Source organism: Homo sapiens, chromosome 4, assembly GCF_000001405.40.
Source record: "Homo sapiens chromosome 4, GRCh38.p14 Primary Assembly".
NCBI classification, from domain to species: Eukaryota; Metazoa; Chordata; class Mammalia; order Primates; family Hominidae; genus Homo; species Homo sapiens.
The window spans coordinates 114,288,412-114,305,380 of record NC_000004.12 but is presented as its reverse complement, the minus strand read 5'-3'; the positions used below and the strand labels follow the sequence as shown (position 1 = coordinate 114,305,380).

At 37.9% G+C, this 16,969-nt stretch overlaps 1 long non-coding RNA gene across 1 annotated transcript; it reads right to left on the bottom strand.

Moving 5' to 3' along the window:
* Positions 1-231: 231 nt before the first annotated feature.
* On the bottom strand, positions 232-9,928 carry LOC107986235 (uncharacterized). Its single transcript, XR_001741519.3, has 3 exons — positions 9,835-9,928; positions 4,617-4,736; positions 232-771 (listed from the first exon to the last, which is right to left on the bottom strand). It is a non-coding gene; the product is annotated as an uncharacterized LOC107986235 (long non-coding RNA).
* Positions 9,929-16,969: the final 7,041 nt, after the last annotated feature.

Genomic DNA, 16,969 nt, shown 5'->3' with positions numbered 1-16,969 from the left:
CTAGCTGTGTGACTTGGAGTAAGCGACTTAACCTCTCTGAGCCTCTTTTCTTTATCTAAAATATGGGGTTGTTAACAGGATTTATAAGTTTGTAATGTTGCTTCAATATCATTATGAACATAAAGTGTTTAGCTTAGGGCCTGACACAAATGAACTACTCAATGGAAAGTAGTTGTTATTATTACTAAAATATTAGATAACAGAGAAAGCAAGTAAGAAAGGCAAACAAGCTTGCGATAAGGAAATCCGGTGATTTATTATACTCAGGAACAATAGCATTTGCAAGGGAGAATAATATGATGAAAGCATAAACAATGACTTCAGGAGAAGCCATGATGCCCATGTCATAGTTTAATGGTAACAAACACAGGCAAAGGACAGGACTCTTGAGCAAATTAACATTTGCTCCATGTGCCTTAGCCCAGGAAGGTTTTGAGAAGCACAAAAACATATTGACATGTGAGTTTTAAGTAGGAAGTACCTAGGTTATCTTACTTTGAAAAGTGTAAGATAGAGATGGTTCCAAATACAAACTTTCTTGCACACACCAGTCCTTGCATCAGCAGCATGGTCATAGTGGCTTTGATGTCTGTGAGTTTTGTTTGTATAGACAATGACAAGAAGTCCAATTTGGCATGTTTTGATCTCTGGTGTCTTACAAAATCCAAAATATCATCGACAGTATGTGTAATGCTGTATTTATCATGGTTTCTCAGGAACTTAATTATAAAAATCTGTTGTTTTTCTGTTAGCTTTAAAATGAATGAAACCCTGGGATGGAGGAAGAATAAAGGAAACATTAATGGGTTGGGTGTCAGCATGCATTATAGTAACACAATGTCATGCTGGTCTTTTTAATTACAGTAGAAACTCAGTTTATCACATTCACAGTGCTTAATTCATGGCTATGGATATATACTTCACAGTGAGGATGAAATCAGGCCAATCAGCCAGTATTCGCAGGTCTGTAAGGATTCCTGATTTTCATACAAAGACCTAAGTTTTGGTATATGAAAAATTTAGAACATCCAAAACTCCCAATGAAAGCATTCTGTGGATACATTCACAGTTGAAGTAAGGTGGTTGGATTATTTCTGTTTATGGTTAACAAATATTTAAGGAAATGGCAATATTATATTGTTAACCTTTCCCAGAGAATTTTGCAATAGTTAACTAATGGCTTTTTCGTTTGACTAATCACCTCTAGGGCCAAAGCAATGGAAATACACTACTCAGATTAATACTCTTCTAACATAAGATACCACATAAAAATGAGAATGCAAGAACTGTAGTACATTGCCCAAAAGTCCAAGATGATAAAGAATAAGAAGTGCAAATATTCTAAAGTCTGTTCTTCTCTTTATATGTCACTTCTTTCTGACACATACAGGTTATTGTACAGTATTTTTGTAAATGGCTTTTATGTTTAACAAAAATTCAAAAATAAGTTTAACAAGTTAAATAATTATTGTGAACATTATTATAAATCATCTCAAATATCTAATTTTCATGGCAAATACGCAGAGATTTTATATTACCCTGGTAAATGTGTATTAAAAAAGGGTTTTGTTAAACTCTTTTGCTACTTTTTTTATTCATTGGCTACAGCAATATAAACTCAACATGTTTAAAGCAAGCCCTATTATTCTCATACGATCTCACAAAACAGAGTTCTATGTGATCAAAATAAGCAGCTTTTATTTATTTTTTATAAACTTATTTTTTGACAGAGTCTCCCTTTGTCACCCAGGCTGTAGTGCAGTGGCACAATCTCAGTTCATTGCAACCTCCACCTCCCAGGTTCAAGCAATTCTCATGCCTCAGCCTCCTTAGCTGGAACTACAGGTGCATACCACCATGCCTGGCTAATTTCTTTGTATCTTTAGTAGAGACAGGGTTTCACCATGTTGGCCAGGCTGGTCTCGAATTCCTCCCAAAGTGCTAGGATTACAGGTGTGAGACACTGCTCCTGGCAGGATCATTAAAATGAGGGTTCAGTGACCAAGACAAATCACATGGCTTTTCTATTTCTATGGCTACTTCTCCTATGATTATGTATGTTTCCATAATAGAAACAATTAAGAAATATAAAATAAGTATTAAGGGCAACTAGAAATAGAAAGTAGAGAGAGTGAAGATGATGCTGTCTTTATCTCAACATCTTAACAATGAAGCTGGTGGCAATAGGTTTTGGGATAAGAATGTATGTGTTCATAAACCTAGAAGAAATCATCTAATTCTCCTTTACGGACTCTGCATATGGTCCTATCCTATCAGCCTGGACTTTATCTGTTGCTCTGCCAGTATCTTACCAATCTGTTTCCAAGAAATAAATCACGTCACCCTCAATATGCTCAGAAAAATTATTTTTAAAATTATACTTTTAAGTGTGTTTCTATTTGTAAAACAATGGTAACAATTTAAATTAAGATTATAAGATAAATATTTAAAAATAGAGATTACCTGGGAAGTAACATCAGCAAAGTGATGGGATAGGAAACCCCATGTTTCTCTCTCCACCACAGAAAGTTCAACTAACAACCATACACAGACAAGAATGCTTCGGTGAAAACCCCAAAACTTAGAAATAGGCCTGAGATGCCCACATGGATCACAGAACTGAATAAAAACCACATTAGAAGAGTAAGAAAAATGGTTTCACTTCGACTTTGTTGCCCCTCCCACTCCCTCAAGTTGACACAATGCCTCACAAGGAAATTCTCCAGTGTCCATGGTTTAGACAGGGGTAAAAGAAAATTGGAAACAGACATCCAACTTCCCTAGCATTCCAAGGGGCCTCTCAGGAATCCCACTTCAATCTCACCTTACAGGAAACACAGAGGGTAACAGCCTGGCTAAACTGCCTGTGGTCAGATAAAAACAAAGAAAGGAGGCACTGCTCAAAGTGACTAGCATGCACATCTTGGTGGTAGCTCCATGTTACTGCTAGCAGAGGTGTCAAATCAGAAATATGGTGACATAGCCCACGCACAAGGACAAGCTGGTCACTTACAGAAATATAGTGAAAAGTTCAATCTGGCTTGAATTTCTAGACTACTAGCTTCCACGCCTAGCCTCATACCATATCCCAAGTTCTGGCCCAGAGAAGGAGATGCCTGCCACAGAGTATTTCACCAAAGCACTGAATATAAACTTGTGCCATCCAGGGATTTAAATGCTGGCTTGGCTCAGCATTGAAGTCCACCTCAAGACGCCACAGCCTGAAACAGTACTTTTCAGTAAAGCACAGGGGCTAGACTTGTGCCACCTGGGCCTTCAAATAGCAGCTCAGCTCATTTTCAAATACCACTCAAAGGCTTTACCCAGGCAAAAAGGCAAACCTCAACCATGCCTTTCTACTGAGCATAGCAGGTGGTCTCAATTATACCAAGCAGTAATTCTGCTTAACCTCAGGATCTAATCTGCCTCCCTGCTCAAATTTAAGAACTCAAATGGCAGTACCACTGTACTAAGAAATATGTCATGCATTCTGTCACTATTAGAGGCAATTTCAGTGTCTAACCAGTAGCTCTAATTGCAGAATGTAGTCAATGGTCTCATGAGACAGCAAAGCTCAGCTAGCAGCCACATCTGACCTCAGAGCAAAGGTGGTGGCTCAGCAAGCTAGAGAACCCAACAGCAAGCTCTGCCTACCTGGTGCCATTATCAGTTGGCCCATCTAGAATCAAATACTAGAATTAATAGTAAAGGTATAGCCTTGCCAAAAATGTCTGTAAGGACTAAAAGAGGTGGATGTCTCCTCAAATGCACATATACTAATGTAAAAACATAAAGATTATAAAGAATCATGGAATCATGCCATCTTCAAAAGATGGTGGCCTCTAAAGAAATGAACATCTATAAAATAATTACAAAAACAGTTTTAAGATCTATAAAATAAATGACAATAACAGTTCTCTTAGGGAAGTTCAGTGAATTTAAAAGATATAAAAATATATGGAAAGGTAAATAAAACTTGGAAATCAGTCACAAATAAAATGAAGCATTGGAAAAAAATTGAAACAGTAAAAATAGAAATCCTGGAGATGAACACAATGACTGAACTAAAAAATGTAATAGCTTCAACAGAAGGTTTGATCAAGCAGAAGGAAAAGTCATTGAGCTCAAGACTGAAATTTGACAGAAACATTTGAAATTATTCAGTCAGAGGAGCAAAAAGAAAAAAGAATGAAAAAGAAAACAGAAAGCCTATGAATTTATGGCACACCATCCAGAGCACTTAACATTCACTTAATAGAATTACCTGAAGGAGAAGAGGGAGAGAAAAAGAGCCAAAAATTATATTTTTAAAACTAATAGCTAAAAACTTCTCAAATCTAGGGGAAAATGCCATCATTCAGATAGAAGAAGTATAGACATCTCCAGTAAATTCAATGAAAGGAAGAGTTTATCAAGGCATAGTAATCAAACTATCAAAAATGAGAGACAAAGAATAATTCTGAAAGCAGCAAAAGATAAGGAACATACCATATAAAGGGAGTCCCAGTGCAGTTATCAGCAGATTTCTCAGCAGAAATACTGCAGGCCAGGAGAAACTGGGATGATAATTCAAGTTACTAAAGGAAAACTAAATCTGTAAACCAAGAATAGTTTACCTGGCAAAGCTTTCCTTCAGAAGTGAGAGAGAATAGAAAGTTTATCAGACAAACAGAAGCTGAGAGAGCTCATCATCACTTGGTTTGCCTTGCAGGAATTACTTAATCTAGTTCTCAAAGCTGAAAAACAAAAACAAAAACAAAAATTATTTCACTAATTAATAACATAAAATGTACAAAAATACAAAAATCAATGATACAAGTAACATATATTCATAGTCAAATACTCTATGTCTGAAATGGTGGTATGTAAAGGAATTTTAATTCTAGTATACTGGTTAAAGGATAAAACTGCTAAAAACTATGGCAAAATAAATTATGAAAAACAAATGATAAAATTATGTAATATTGACATCAAAAATCAAATTAAGGGAAAATAAAAAGAAAGAGTTGTTAGATATGATCAAAGTTAAGTGGTGTTTAGCTTGAAATAGCCTAAGTCTGAGATACTTAATGTAAGCCTCATAATAGCACATCTATAGATGTGCAAAATATAAATAGAAAGAATTCAAAGCATACTTACAAAAACCATCAAACCATCAAACCAAAAAACTATCAAAGCACAAAGGAAGGTAGCATGAAAGAAAAAAAACAAACTATATTCCAAACAACCAGAAAACAAATCATGAAATGGTAGTAGTAAGTCTTTACCTGAAAATAATAGTTTTGAATGTTAAATGGATTAAATTATCCAATTAAAAGGCATAGAGTGGCTGAATGGATTTTGTTTAAAAGACCCTACTATAAGTTGCCTGCAAGAGAGTTACCTCACCTTTAAAGATGCACATAGACTGAAAGTGAAAGAAAGAAAAAGGATATTTCATGCAAATGAAAATCAACAGAGAGCAGAGGTAGATGTATTTATATCAGACACAATAGATATTAAGCCAAAAACTATAAAACAAGACAGAGTTATTATGTGAGGAAAAAGGGGTCAGTTCATTAAAAGGATATAACAATTGTAATAAATTTGCACCCAACATTGGAGTACTTAAAGCAAATATTAACAGAACTGAAGGGAGAGATAGACTACAATACAATAATGGCAGTGGACTGCAATATTCCATTTTCAACAGTGAACAGATCTTTCAGATAGAAAATTAAAAAGGAAACTTTGGATTTGAATATACTTTAGATCAAATGGACCTAGAAGACATATACAAAAAATTCCATCCAATAGCAAAAAAAAAAATACACATTTTTCTCAAGGGCACATGGAACTTTCTCTAGGATAGATCATATGTTCGGGCACAAAACAAGTCTTATAAATTTAAGAGGATTGAAATCATATCAAAATTTTTTATCATAATGATATGAACTAGAAATCAGTAACAGGAGAAATCTTGCATAATTTACAAATACATAGAAATTAAAGAATATGTTACTGAATAATCAATGGGTCAAAAAGAAGCCAAATGGGAAATAAAAAATATATTGAGACAAATGAAAATGAAAAAAGCAACATAACAAAATATACAAGATAAAGTAAAAGCAGACCTAAAGGAAAATTTATAGCAATAAATGCCTATACCAAAAAAGAAAAAATTAAGTAAACAATAGAAAAAAAAACCCATGATTTGACTTTTGAAAAATTAAATAAAATCAACACTTAGTAGACTAAGAGAAAAGAGAGAAACAAATTAATAAAATGAGAAATGAGAAAAAAGATATAACAACTGATACCACAGAAATACAAAAACTGAGATTAATGTGAACAATTATAAGTCAACAAACTGAATAACCTGGAAGAAATAGTTAAATATATACATATACAGAGCCTACCAACAGTGAATCAAGGAGAAATAAAAAATCTGAACAGAACTTTAACAAGTAAAGTGGAATCAGTAATAAAAAACTCTTCCATCTAATAAAAGCCCAGCATCTGATGGCTTCAGAGGTGAATCCTATCAAATATTTAAAGAACTAGGCAGGGCGTGGTGGCTCACACCTGTAATTCCAACACTTTGGGAGGCTGAGGCAGGTGGGTCACTTGAGGTCAGGAGTTTGAGACCAGCCTGGCCAACATGATGAAACCATCTCTACTAAAAATACAAAAATTTGCTGGGCATGGCGGTGGGTGCCTGTAATCCCAGCTACTTGCAAGGCTGAGGCAGGAGAATCTCTTGAACCTAGGAGGTGAAGGTTGCAATGAGCTGAGATCATGCCACTGCACTCCAGCCTGGGTGACAGAGGGAGACTCTGTCTCAAAAACCAACAAACAAACAAGCAAAAAAACTAACACCAATCCTTCTCAAACTATTCCAAAAACTTGAAATAGAGGAAATACTTCTGAGCTCTTTATGATACCAGAATTACCTTGATACTAAAACCAAAGAAAGACTCAAGAAAAAGAAAGTACAGGCCAATATTTCTCATAAATATAGATGCAAAAATCTTTAAAAAAATCAGCAAAGTGAATTCAACAGTTCATTTAAAGGATAATTCATCAAGATCAACGAGAATTTATCCCAGTGATGCAAATATGGTGCAACATGTGCAATCTATTATTGCGATACACTACATTAACAGAATGAAGGATAATTTTTTTTTTGAGACAGAGTCTCACTCTGTCACCCAGGCTGGAGTGCAGTGGCATAATCTCAGCTTACTGCAAACTCTGCCTCCCGGGTTCATGCCATTCTCCTGCCTCAGCCTCCCGAGTAGCTGGGACTACAGGCACCCGCCACCATGCCCGGCTAATTTTTTGTATTTTTAGTAGAAATGGGGTTTCACCGTGTTAGCCAGGATGGCCTCGATCTCCTGACATCGTGATCCACCCGCCTTGGCTTCCCAAAGTGCTTGGATTACAGGCGTGAGCCACTGCACCTGGCCGAAGGATAAAAATCTTACAGTCATCTCATTAGAAGCAGAAAAACATTTGACATATTCAGCATTCTTTCATGATAAAAACTCTCAAGGAAATATATGCAGGAATATATTTAGCCACAAAAGTGAAAAATTTACACACTGACCTCCATAAAACATTGATGGAAGAAATGTAAGAAGACACAAATAAAGGGAAAGATGTGTCATGTTTATGAACTGGAACGGTTAACATTGTCTCAATGTGCATACTAACCAAAGTATTCTACAGATTCAATGCAATCCCTATCAAAACTCCAATGTCAGATGGGTGCAGTGGCTCACATCTGTAATACCAGTATTTTGTGAGGCCAAGGTGGTAGGATTTCTTGATCCCAGAAGATTGAGACCAGCTTGGGCAACATGGCAAAACATGATTTCTACAAAAAGAAAAAAAGAAAAGAAAATTAGCTGGGCATGGAGGCACATGCCTGTAGTCCCAGCTACTCCAGAGGCTTATGCAGGAGGTTCCCTTGAGCCCAGGACACTGAGGCTGCAGTGAGTCATGTTCACACCACTGTACTCCAGCCTGGAAAACAGAAGGAGACTCTTTCTCAAAAAAAAAAAAAAATCCAATGGTCATTTTTCACCAAAATAGGAATAAACAATTCAAAAATTCATATGGAACCATAAAATCAACAAATAAAGCAATCTTGATCAAAAAGAACAAAGCTGGAGACATCACACTACCTGGCTTCAAGCTATACTGCACAGCTATAGTAACTAAAATTGCATGGTACTATCATCAAAATTGACACACTGATCAGTGGAACAGAATAAAGAGCCCAGAAATAAATCCACGCTTTTATGGTCAATAGATTCTCAACAAAAGTACCAATACCACACAATGAAAAGAACAGTATTTTCAATAAAGGCTGTTGAGAAAACTAGATATACACAAGCAGAAAAAATGGAATTGGATGCTTCTTCTACATCATAACAAAAATTAACTCAAAAGGGATGAATGTTTAAACATAAAACCTGAAACTGTAATAATACCAGCAGAAAACATAAGGGAAAACTACACAACACTGGTCTGTGCAATAATTTTTTTAAAAAATTTGACTCCAAAAAGCTCAGGCAACAAAAGCAAAAATGGACAAATGGAATTACATCAAACTAAAAAGTCTCTATACAGTAAAAAAAATAATTAAGAGTGAAAAGACAACCTACAGATTGAGAGAACATACTTGTAAACCATATATCTGATAAAGCATTAATATCCCAAATACATAAGAAATTTATATTGAGAGGTGACAATGTGCTAGCAGCCCTCACTTGCTATCAGCACCTCCTCAGCCTCAGCGTCCGCTCTGGCCACACTTGAGGAGCCATTCAGCCCACTGCTGCACCGTGGGAGCCTCTCTCTGGGCTGGCGGAGGCCAGAGCTGGCTCCCTCTGTTTGTGGGGAGGTGGGGAGGCTTGGAGGGAGAGGCGTGGGCGGGAACCCGGGCTGCATGCAGCTCTGGCGGGCCAGCGTGACTTCTAGGCAGTGAGGGGCTTAGCACCCGGGCCAGCAGCTGTGGAGGGTATGCGGGGTCCCCCTTCAGTGCCGGCTGGCTGGTGCCGCACTTGAATTCTCACCGGGGCCTCAGCTGCCTCCCCGCTGGGCAGGGCTCGGGACCTGCAGCCTGCCATGCCTGAGCCACCCACTGTGGTAGGCTCCTGTGCAGCCCAAACCTCTGCAGCGCCTGGTCCCATTGACCGCCTAAGGGCTGAGGAGTGCAGGCACGCAGCGTGGGACTGGCAGGCAGTTCTGCCTGCGGCCCTGGCATGGGATCCACTAGACGAAGCCAGCTGGGCTCCTGCATCGGGTGGGGACTTGGAGAACTTTTATGTCTAGCTAAAGGTTTATAAATACACCAATCAGCACCCTGTGTTTAGCTCAAGGTTTGTAAATGCACCAGTCAGTGCTCTGTGTCTAGCTAATCTAGTGGGGACTTGGAGAACCTTCATGTCTAGCTAAAGGATTGTAAACACACCAATCAGCACCCTGTATCTAGCTGAAGGTTTGTAAATGCACCAATAAGTGCTCTGTGTCTAGCTAATCTAGTGGGGACTTGGAGAACTTTTGTGTCTAGCTCAGGGATTGTAAACGCACCAATCAGCACCCTGTCAAAATGGACCAATCAGCTCTCTGTAAAACACACCAATCAGCTCTCTGTAAAATGGACCAATCAGCAGGATGTGGGTGGGGCCAGATAAGGGAATAAAAGCAGGCTGCCCAAGCCAGCAGCGGCAACCCGCTCTGGATGCCTTCCACAGTGTGAAAGCTTTGTTCTTTCACTCTTCGCAGTAAATCTTGCTGCTGCTCACTGTTTGGGTCCGCACTGCCTTTATGAGTTGTAACACTCACCGTGAAGGTCTGCAACTTCACTGCTGAAGCCAGCGAGATCAGGAACCCACCAGAAGGAAGAAACTCCAAACACGTCCAAACATCAGATGGAACAAACTCCAGACACACCATCTTTAAGAACTGTAACGCTCACCGTGAGGGCCCGTGGCTTCATTTTTGAAGTCATTAAGACCAAGAACCCACCAATTTCGGACACAATATGTCAATAGTGAAAAAAAAAAAAAATGAAAAATGAGCAAAGGACCTGAATAGATATTTCTCAAAAGAAGACAAGTAAATTCTCAAAAGATATATGAAAAAGATGCTCCATATCACTAATCATTAGAGAAGTACAACTTAAAACTACAATGGGATCACATAACACTTGTCAGAATGGCTAGTATCAAAAAGATAACAGCAAGCGTTTGCAAGAATATGAAGGAAAAGGAACTCTTGTACACTTTTGGTATAAACGTAAATTAGTACTGCTGTATTAGTCCATTATTATACTGCTATAAAGAACTACCAGAGACTGGGCAATTTATTAATATAAGAAAAGAGGTTTAATTGGCTCACAGTTCTGCATGGCTAGGGAGGCCTCAGGAAACTTACAATCGTGGTGAAAGGAGAAGCAGGCACTTTTTACATGGCAGCAAATGAGAGGAAGCGGAGGGGCAAGAGCCCCTTATAGCAACTTCAGGTCTCATGAGAACACACTCACTATCACAAGAACAGCATGGGGAAAACCACCCTAATGATCCAGTCACCTCCCACCATGTCTCTCTCTCAACCCCTGGAAATTATAACTTGAGCTGAAATTTGGGTGGAGACACATTGCCAAATCATATCAACAGCCATTATAGAAAAATTTATGGAGGCTGATATGGTTTGGCTCTGTGTCCCCACCCAAATCTCATCTTGAATTGTACTCCCATAATTCCCACGTGTTGTGGGAGGGAACCGGTAGGAGATAATTTAAATGATGGTGGCAGTTTCTACCATACTGTTCTCATGGTAGTGAATAAGTCTCACGAGATCTGATGGTTTTATCAGGGCTTTCCATTTTTGCATCTGTCTCACTGTCTCATTTTCTCTTGCCACCACCATGGAGGAAGTTCCTTTGGCCCCCCACCATGATTCTGAGGCCTCCCCAGCCATGTGGAACTGTAAGTCCAAGTAAACCTATTTTTCTTCCCAGTCTCAGGTATGTCTTTATCAGCAGCATGAAAATGAACTAATACAGAGGTCTTCAAAAAAGGAGAAATGCAATTACAATATGATTCAGCAATCCTATTTCTGGGTTTATATCTTAAGACTTGAAATCAGTACGTCAAAGAGATATCTGCACTCCCATGTTCATTGCAATATTATTCACAACAGTTAAAAGAGGAAAACAATTCTTCATACCCATCAACAAATAAATGGATAAAGAAAACATGGTACAGGTTGAGTATCTCTCATCTCAAATGCTTAGGACCAGAAGTGCTTCCAAGTTTGAATTTTTTTTTGGATTTTGGAATACTTGCACATACATAATGAGATACATTGGGAGAGGATACAAGTCTAAGCATAAAATTCACTTATATTACATATAAACATTTTATACATACCTAAAAGTAATTTACACAATATTTTAAATAATTTTACACATAAAACAACATTTGTGTATATTAAACCATCAGGAAGCAAAAGCATCCCTATCTCAGCCATCTATGCAAACAATCTGTGGTTATCCACATCACCATCATTGCTGACTCTGAATTTATAGGCTACTGATAAGCAGTCATTTTTCTCACACTTATTTGCACATAAGTACTTAACAGTAAACAAGTTGACATACCATTAATCCAGTGAAAAAATAATGTGTTCAGCTTAGCTAAGCAACACAGTTGCATCACCAGAATACCTGTATTAGCTGTTAAATAACAGCAACTGCAAACAACAAAAGGATTTTAGTCTCCACCTATAATACTGTGTTTTTATTAACAGGATACTATACAATGTATTTTTTTTAGGTGAGAAAAAACATCAGAAGCAGTTGAGGGACAAGGAGGTGGATCATTTAGAGTTGAGGAGGCATTCAGCCAGAAGGCATTTAAAAATGTTTCCTCCAAAGTCATTTGCCTTATTAACAATTGTATTTGTTGTCAAAGTCTCTCTTTGATTTTATAAACTAATATGATTTCTTGTTTTGTTATGAATGCATACTGCCCTAGTCCTTCAATAAGCTCATTATATATTTGACCATGTAATTAACCTACAGGCACTTCTGCAGTGGTTATCACTGTTAAATGTCATCTTCATTATCACTATTACTACAATCACTTTGACTCAGGATCATTTTGGCTATTTCACCATCAGTCAGTGAATGAACAAGTGGAGCCTAATTTTCTTTTCTTTTTCTTTTTATTATACTTTAAGTTCTAGGGTACATGTGCACAACGTGCAGGTTTGATACATAGGTATACATGTGCCATGTTGGTTTGCTGCACCCATCAACCCATCATTTACATTAGGTATTTCTCCTAATGATATCCCTCTCCCAGGGCCTCAACCCCTGACAGGCCCCAGTGTGTGATTTTCCCCGCCCTGTGTCCAAGTGATCTCATTGTTCAATTCCCACCTATGAGTGAGAACATGTGGTGTTTGGTTTTCTGTCCTTGCGATAGTTTGCTCAGAATGATGGTTGCCAGCTTCATCCATGTCCCTGCAAAGGACATGAACTCATCCTTTTTTATGGCTGCATAGTATTCCAAGGTGTGTTAAGTGCCACATTTTCTTAATCCAGTATATCATTGATGGACATTTGGGTTGGTTCCATGTCTTTGTTACTGTGAATAGTGCCACAATAAACATACGTGTGCATGTGTCTTTATAGTAGCATGATTTATAATCCTTTGGGCACATACCCAGTAATGGGATTGCTGGGTCAAATGGTATTTCTAGTTCCACATCCTTGAGGAATTGCCACACTGTCTGCCACAATGGTTGAACCAATTTACACTCCCACCAACAGTGTAAAAGCGTTTCTATTTCTCCATATCTTCTCCAGCATCTGTTGTTTCCTGACTTTTTAATGATTGCCATTCTAAGTGGTGTGAGATGGTATCTCATTGTGGTTTTGATTTGCATTCTCTGATGACCATTGATTATGAGCATTTTTTCATATGTCTCTTAGCTCCATAGATGTCTTCTTTTGAGAAGTGTCTACTCATATCATTTGCCCACTTTTTGATGGGGTTGTTTTTTTCTTGTACATTTGTTTGAGTTCCTTGTAGATTCTGGATATTAGTGCTTTGTCAGATGGGTAGATTGCAAAAATTTTCTCCCATTCTGTAGGTTGCCTGTTCACTCTGATCATGGTTCCTTTTGCTGTGCCGAAGCTCTTTAGTTTACTTAGATCCCATTTGTCAATTTTGGCTTTTGTTGCCTTGATTTTGGTGTTTTAGTCATGAAGTCCCTGCCCATGACTATGTCCTGAATGGTATTGCTTAGGTTTTTTTCTAGGGTTTTTATTGTTTTAGGTCTAACATTTAAGCCTTTAATCTATCTTGAATTAATTTTTGTATAAGGTATAAGGAAGGGATCCAGTTTCAGCTTTCTACATATGGCTAGCCAGTTTTCCCAGCACCATTTATTAAATAGGGAATCCTTTCCCCATTGCTTGTTTTTGTCAGGTTTGTCAAAGATCAGATGGTTGTAGATGTGTAGCATTATTTCTGAGGCCTCTGTTCTGTTCCATTCATCTACATATCTGTTTTGGTACCAGTACCATCCCGTTTTGGCTACTGTAGCCTTGTAATATAGTTTGAAGTCAGGTAGCGTGATGCTTCCACCTTTGTTCTTTTTGCTTAGGATTGTCTTGGCAATGTGGGCTCTTTTGTTCCATGTGAACTTTAAAGTAGTTTTTTCCAATTCTGTGAAGAAAGTCATTAGTAGCTTGATGGGGATGGCATTGAATCTATAAATTACTTTGGCAGTATGGCCATTTTTATGATATTGATTCTTCCTATCCATGAGCATGGAATATTCTTCCATTTGTTTGCATCCTCTTTTATTTTATTGAGCAGTGGTTTGTAGTTCTTGAAGAAGTCCTTCACATCCCTTGTAAGTTGGATTTCTAGGTATTTTATTCTCTTCATAGCAATTGTGAATGTGAGTTCACGCATGATTTGGCTCTCTGTCTGTTAATATTGTATAGGAATGCTTGTGATTTTTGCACATTGATTTTGATCCTGAGCTTTTGCTGAAGTTGCTTATTAGCTTAAGGAGATTTTGGGCTGAGGACAATGGTGTTTTCTAGATATACAATCATGTCATCTGCATACAGGGACAATTTGACTTCCTCTTTTCCTAATTGAATACCCTTTATTTCTTTCTCTTCCGTGATTGCCCTGGCAACACTATATTGAATAGGAATGGTGAGAGAGGACATCCTTGTCTTGTGTCGGTTTTGCAAGGGAATGCTTCCAGTTTTTGCCCATTCAGTATGATATTGGCTGTGGGTTTGTCATAAATAGCTCTTATTATTTTGAGATATGTTCCATCAATACCTAGTTTATTGAGAGTTTTTTAGCATGAAGCGCTGTTGAATTTTATCAAAGGCCTTTTATGCATCTACTGAGATAGTCATGTGGTTTTTGTCATTGGTTCTGTTTATGTGATGGATCTCATTTATTGATTTGCATATGTTGAACCAGGCTTGCATCCCAGGGATGAAGCCAACTTGATTTTGGTGGATAAGATTTTGATGTGCTGCTGGATTCAGTTTGCCAGTATTTTATTGAGGATATTCGCATCGATGTTCATCAGGGATATTGGTCTAAAATTCTCTTTTTTTGTTGTGTCTCTGCAGGCTTTGGTATCAGGATGTTGTTGGCCTCACAAAATGAGTTAGGGAGGATTCCCTCTTTTTCTATTGATTGGAATAGTTTCAGAAGGACTGGTGCCAGCTGTGCTTTGTACTTCTGGTAGAATTCGGCTGTGAATCTGTCTGGTCCTCGACTTTTTTTGTTGGTAAGCTATTAACTATTGCCTCAATTTCAGAGCCTGTTATTGGTCTATTCCGAGATTCAGCTTCTTCCTGGTTTAGCCATGAGAGGGTGTTTGTGTCCAGGAATGTGTCCATTTCTTCTAGATTTTCTAGTTCATTCGCATAGAGGTGTTTATAGTATTCTCTGACGGTAGTTTGTATTTCTGTGGGATTGGTGGTGAGATCCCCTTTATCATTTTGTATTGCATCTATTTGATTTTTCTCTCATTTCTTCTTTATTATTCTTGCTAGCAATCTATCAATTTTGTTGATCTTTTCAAAAACCAGTTCCTGGATTCACTGATTTTTGAAGGGTTTTTTGTGTCTCTACCTCTTTCAGTTCTGCTCTGATCTTAGTTATTTCTTTCCGTCTGCTAGCTTTTGAATTTGTTTGCTCTTGCTTCTCTAGTTCTTCTAATTGTGATGTTAGGGTGTCGATTTTAGATCTTTACTGCTTTCTCTTGTGAGCATTTAGTGCTATAAATCTCCCTCTACACACTGCTTTAAATGTGTCCCACAGATTCTGGTACTTTGTGTCTTTGTTCTCATTGGTTTCAAAGAACATCTTTATTTCTGCCTTCATTTCATTATTTACCCAGTAGTCATTCAGGAGCAGGTTGTTCAGTTTCCATGTAGTTGCATGGTTTTGAGTGAGTTTCTTAATCCTGAGTTCTAATTTGATTGCATTGTGATCTGAGAGGCAGTTTGTTGTGATTTCTGTTATTTTACATTTGCTGAGGAGTGCTCCATTTCCAATTATGTGGTCAATTTTACAGTAAGTGTGATATGGTGCTGAGAAGAATGTATATTCTGTTGATTTGGGGTGGAGAGTTCTGTAGATGTCTGTTAGGTCTGCTTGTTACAGAGCTGAGTTCAGGTCCTGGATATCCTTGTTAACCTTCTGTCTCATTGATCTGTCTAATATTGACAGTGGGGTGTTAAACTCTCCCATTATTATTGTGTGAGAGTCTAAGTCTCTTTGTAGTCTCTAAGGACTTGCTTTATGAAACAGGGTGCTCCTGTATTGGGTGCATATATATTTAGGATAGTTAGCTCTTCTTGTTGAATGGATCCCTTTACCATTATGTAATGTCCTTCTTTGTCTCTTTTGATCTTTGTTGGTTTAAAGTCTGTTTTATCAGAGACTAGGATTGCAACCCGTGCTTTTCTTTTTTTTTTTTTTTTTGCTTTCCATTTGCTTGGTAGATCTTCCTCCATCCCTTTATTTTGAGACTATGTGCGTCTTTGCACATGAGATGGGTCTCCTGAATGCAGCACACTGATGAGTCTTGACTCTTTATCCAATTTGCCAGTCTGTGTCTTTTAATTGGGGCATTTAGCCCATTTACATTTAAGGTCAATATTAACAAGCAATTTGATCCTGTCATTATGATGTTTGCTAGTTATTTTGCCTGTTAATTGATGCAGTTTCTTCATAGCATCAACGGTCTTTACAATTGGGTCATTTTTGCAGTGGCTGGTACCAGTTGTTTCTTTCCATGTTTAGTGCTTCCTTCAGGAGCTGTTTTAGGGCAGGTCTGGTGGTGACAAAATCTCTCAGCATTTGCTTGTCTGTAGGGGTTTATTTCTCCTTCACTTATGAAGCTTAGTTTGGCTGGATATGAAATTGTAGGTTGAAAATTCTTTTCTTTAAGAATGTTGAATATTGGCCCCCACTCTCTTCCTGCTTGTAGGGTTTCTGCTGAGAGATCTGCTGTTAGTCTGATGGGCTTCCCTTTGTGGGTAACTCAACCTTTCTCTCTGGCTGCTGCTAACACTTTTTCCTTCATTTCAACCTTGGTGAATCTGACAATTATGTGTCTTGGGGTTGCTCTTCTCAAGGGGTATCTTTGTGGTGTTCTCTGTATTTCCTCAATTTGAATGTTGGCCTGCCTTGCTAAGTTGGGGAAGTTCTCCTCGCTAATACCCTGAAGAGTGTTTTCCAACTTGGTTCCATTCTCCCTATCACTTTCAGGTACCAATCAAATGTAGATTTGGTCTTTTCACATAGTCTCATATTTCTTGGAGGCTTTGTTCATTTTCTTTTAGTCTTTTTTTCTCTAACCTTGTCTTCTCACTTTATTTCATTAATTTGATATTCAATCACTGATACCCTTTCTTCCA